The following is a 5,055-nucleotide window of genomic DNA, read 5'->3' as shown; positions in this document are numbered from 1 at the left end:
TCTCTTAATGCACCAGCAGGGCCTCTGGGAATATGGCCTAGTCCTAATTTTTTCATCTGCAAATGAAGATCATAGTAACTCCTACCTTGTAAAGTTCTTTTTTTGTTGTTGAGACAGGGTATCACCCTGTCATCCCAGCTGGAGCACAGTGGCATAAACATGGCTAAATGCAGCTTCAACCTCCCATGCTCAATCAATCCTCCCAGCTCAGCCTCCTGAGTAACTGGGACCACAGGCATGCGCCACCACATCCGACTAATTTTTTTTTTTTTTTTGAACCAGAGTTTCACTCTTGTAGCCCAGGCTTGAGTGCAGTGGTGTGATCTCAGCTCACTGAAACATCTGCCTCCTAGGTTCAAGCAATTCTCCTGCCTCAGCTTCCCAAGGAGCTGGGATTACAGGTACCCACCACCATGCCCAACTAATTTTTTGTATCTTTAGTAGAGACGGGGGTTTCACCATGTTGGCCAGGCTGGTCTTGAACACCTAACCTCAGGTGATCCACTGGCCTCGGCCTCCCAAAGTCCTGGGATTACAGTCGTGAGCCTCCACGTCCAGCCCATCCGACTAATTTTTAATTTTTTTGTAGAGATAGGGTCTCCCTATTTTGCCCAGACTGGTCTCAAACTCCTGGGTTCCCTCCTCCCACCTCAGCCTTCCAAAGTTGGGATTACAGGGGCGAGCCACTGTGCCCATTCATAAAGTTCTTTAAGGATGAATGATAGTGCATGTGAAGGGCCTACACAATTCCTGGCAAATACTAAGCACCCAATAGATGCCAGTTGTTATTTTTAATATTAGCGTAAGGCCAGCATACCAGTTATTTAATAACTAGTATCTTGACAATCAGGAAGACTTACAGCATCTTCCCAAGGAGCCTCATTTATCCCCAGAGAGTAGTATCTAGGGAGGAAGACCCATCTGCAGCCTTTGTTACCCCACCAGATATAAGAGTAAGGGAAAGAGGAGAAAGTTCCTTCTCCCCAGTGTTCTGCAAACTACCATTGTACATGCAGAAAACTGCACCCATATTGAGCATGGCCGTCTGGGGGAATGCACAAAGACTGGGGACTTTGGAAAAGTCTGAGCCTGATTGAATTCTAGTCTGTTCTCAGGAAAATGATTTGTGTCCTCAATGCACACATAAGCGTATGGCTTCAGCACGTGCACTCTCACACACACACCCACTTACAGGTTAGAACATCATCGCACTGGGTGTATTTTTCCATGTCTTCCTTCTCATCTCTTGCATTCTTTTCAGCCCATTTGGGCATAATTATTATTGCTCTGCTGGCTTGGTTCTGCAGCTCTCTAGAGTGGAGCAGATGTCGACAGCTCTGAAAGATCCCATGCTATTACACAGCAGAACAAATGAGAATGTCAAAAAAGGCTCTTCAGTCTAACAAGAAAACAGAGGAAAGAGACAAAAAGAATAAAGCCTTTGGAGACCAGCAGACTCGCTCTGATTAGATCTTATGCTAACATGATGCCCACTCTGCGTACTAACAGTGATTTAATATGTTTAAATGATACAGGGGAAATATGTCTTGGGGAAAAGAAAACACAGAGAGAAGAGAATTTCTTCCCTGGCAGGCATGATTAAGATGGTGTGGGCTTCCTTGAAAATGAGACTGCAGCATGAGACTGTTGAGTGCAGGCCCAAGCATATTTACTTACAATGCCTGACATTGTCTCATTATACTGGGCAGTGCCGGCTTTCTCAACCACTGGGTGAGTGATAGGAGCTGTTCAGATGGATTAGCTGGCTAGGTGCATAACAGAATGTCAGCCTCACTGCTGGGTCATTGTTTCTTCCCTTAACGTGGGAAGCTGTAATTTATAAACATCTTATATATGGGGCCACAAGTCCACAAATCCTAATTATCCAAAACAAAGATTAAAATACTCTAGAATTTTGAAAGCGAGAAGACGGAGGTCTCTCAGCAATCAAAGTGGATGAACCGAAGTCCATGTATTATGGATCACGTAAAGTAACTCCTGATTGAATATGTTCTCAGCTCCTTGCTTTTAACCAATTTACTCTACTATCTTCTCCTTATAATTCCAACTATTAATGTTATAGGTCTCTCTTTCACTAGACCACTGCAGAATAGAAAAACTAATTTAGAAAGGCCAGCCTTGGGATAAGGAGGATGGAGTGAAAGACTGTTACATATATATAAAATCCTGACAGTATCAAAATATGATATCTGTTGACAGTGAGAGGACACAGATACTACAATGAAGTAGAAAACATTATATGTGTTTGTTTCTTTTTCTTCTTTGTTCCTTTAATCCTTCCACAGTGGGTCTGAGGCAGCTTTCTAGGGGCTTTTGTTATATGGGTAAAGGCTAGCACATAACTCAAAAATCCCTAAGGAATAAAAATTAAAAACCAAATAAACAATTCTATGAAGAGAGCAGGTTATTAAAGCTCATTGTTTAAATGCAATAAATGGAAAACCTCCTGGGAATTTCCCTTATACCTAAAAATGCCCAGACTCTGCACTCCAGATGTTAGGATCTGTCTAGAAGCTCAACAACCCTTAGTAGGATGAGAACTCAACAGCTACCTGGTCCAGTGTTTGTTGCTGACACGTGATCAATCTGCCTGTGCTTAAGGCCATCTCTTGACAGGGCCTCATTCCCTTGTAAGACACCAGTCCATTGTCAGAGCACTCTCATTATTAGAAAGTTCAGTCTTGTTGGAACCCAAATGTACCTCTTTGTCTCTTCACCTCATTGGCAATGGCTCTGCCCTCCAGGACGGAGCATCTGTGTGCAGTCAGAACACCTGTGTCCATATCCTGGCTCTAGTAATGTGACTTTGGACAGGTAACTTAATCTCTCTGAGCTCCAGTTTCCTACTCAAAGGCCAGAAGTGAGAATAACTGAGAGAATCCATATAAATATATTTGCCATACAGAACTCACTCTGTAAATATGAGCCGTTATTTTAGACTATGAAAGGATTGCTGCCTTCCTTATAGTATACTCCACATTTCTATTATAGCCTGAGCTTACAGTGCACTAGTGATTCATTCTGGGCTTATAATCAGCTGAAACATCTCTATTATTTTCACACAGGCTCCTATCAAACCACATCTTTCCCATCTGCTGCTTATTCCATCTTATTTGCCTGTTTATTTTAACCAAATGTTAAGACTTTACATTTATCCCCATTAAACATAATCTTGTTAGATCTGGTCCATTGTTTCAGCCTGTCAAATCTTTTTTGCATTGCAATTCTACTGTCCAATGTATTAGCTATCCCTTCCAGCTTTGTGTCACCCACAAATTTTATCACTGGGCCGTCAATGTCTTCATCCAAGACATTAATAAAAATGCCTAACAAGGCAAGACAGAAGCCAGAAAACTGTGGTGTGCAAGATCCTTTCTGTAGATCCACATCAACTCATTCATTAGTACTCTGAGTCCAATCAGTTACTCATCTACCTGACTTGGTTGCCATCAGCCCTTGTCCATGGGTGTATCCCATTTTCAAAGATAGAGACTTTATCTGTCAAATGCATGCTGCAATCCAAATGCACTTCATCCACACAATACCTGGAAAACCAGTCTAGCAAGTCTCGCAGAAAGAAACATGGCAGGTCTGTGACAATTCACTGACTCCTTGCCTCTCACCTGGGAACAGCATCCAGCTCACCAGAAAAAGATCATCCAAACTGCCTGACCTTTATTTGAAAGGTCAAAAATTTCCACCTTTTCCCATGACTGGGCTTCCAGCACCTTTCCTCAAAGTCTCAGTGCTTCAAGGCAGACAGCAAGTCTCCTGCAATATAACTTGTCTGGCCAGGCCGCTGGGCACCAAGCATTCATTTAGAACCTTCTCTCTTGGGCTTCCATTATCTGTCACCAATATCTGTGGGAACCTTTTCCAACATGAAGTTGCTTTCCTTGATAGGAATTATGGAAGGGACATAAATACTGAAAGAATCTGTTTTCTGCCATTTGTTAATATTGTGCCAGTTACAATATTGATCTCAAGCAATGGACATATTTTTCATCCTGTGCCAAAGATAACTTAAAGTCCCTTTATGTTTTGCCTTAAAAGTACAGGTGCCTTTTAGAAGTCCTGGGAGCAGTATCAACAAAGGGTTAGATGGATCAATAGAAGCCAGCCTGCAATGGCACCTGGCTAAACAAGGGGAATCAGTCCCAGTCACTAGGTTCCTTTCCTAACTGTCCCCCACCCCCATGTCCCACCTTTGGGTCCTGGTCTATAACATCCAACCACCACTGGAGAGAAACAGTGTTTAAGATCTTGGAATTCTATGTTTACCTAATGCCGCTACATCCTATATATGTGACCTTGGGCTAATCTCTAAGAGAGGGACAATAGTAATTATCTCATGAGTGGTTGTGAGTATCACATGATATAATGACTCCACACATGCCATGCACAGTGCCTGGCACATGCTCAGGGCAGAATACTGGTGGTCTGTTATCACCTTCTGGTTTCTTCCTTGGTCGTGTCCCCATTTGGTTCTGCTCTTCTCATCAGTCCCTTGTCCATCCCGTCTCAGTCCACGTTAGCTCTGTCTCAAACTTTAATTTTCAGTTTGCCCTTTGAAAACTGGCTGCTCCCCGATCCACCCCAACACATAAACATACTGGTATTTGACAGTATATTGTGTACATTGAAAAATCTCTTGCTGACTCTACTTCTGGAAAAACAGTCAAAATATGAGTGTAAAACCTATCTCTTACCTGTCAGGGCCCAGGCCCCCATCTAAGACAAGTCTCAGTGAATAAGGAACACTCCTCAATTTTTTCACAATTCCAACCCTGACTTCTTTACTTTTTAACTGCATAATCTTGGGCAAGTCAACTAACCTCTCTAAGTCTCAGTTTCCTCCTCCATAAGGTAAGCGTAACACTGTAGGGTTGCTGGGAGCATAAGCTGCTTAGCACCATGCCTACAAAACCTTAATTACTCAATAAATGTTAGGTATTATTATCAGCACCATTATCATCATCCTTCCCCACTTCACCTTTCCTGATAGCATTCATTTTCTTAATAGATTCTTTTATA

This window comes from Homo sapiens, chromosome 1, assembly GCF_000001405.40.
Source record: "Homo sapiens chromosome 1, GRCh38.p14 Primary Assembly".
NCBI lineage: Eukaryota > Metazoa > Chordata > Mammalia > Primates > Hominidae > Homo > Homo sapiens.
This window is presented reverse-complemented; position numbering follows the sequence as displayed.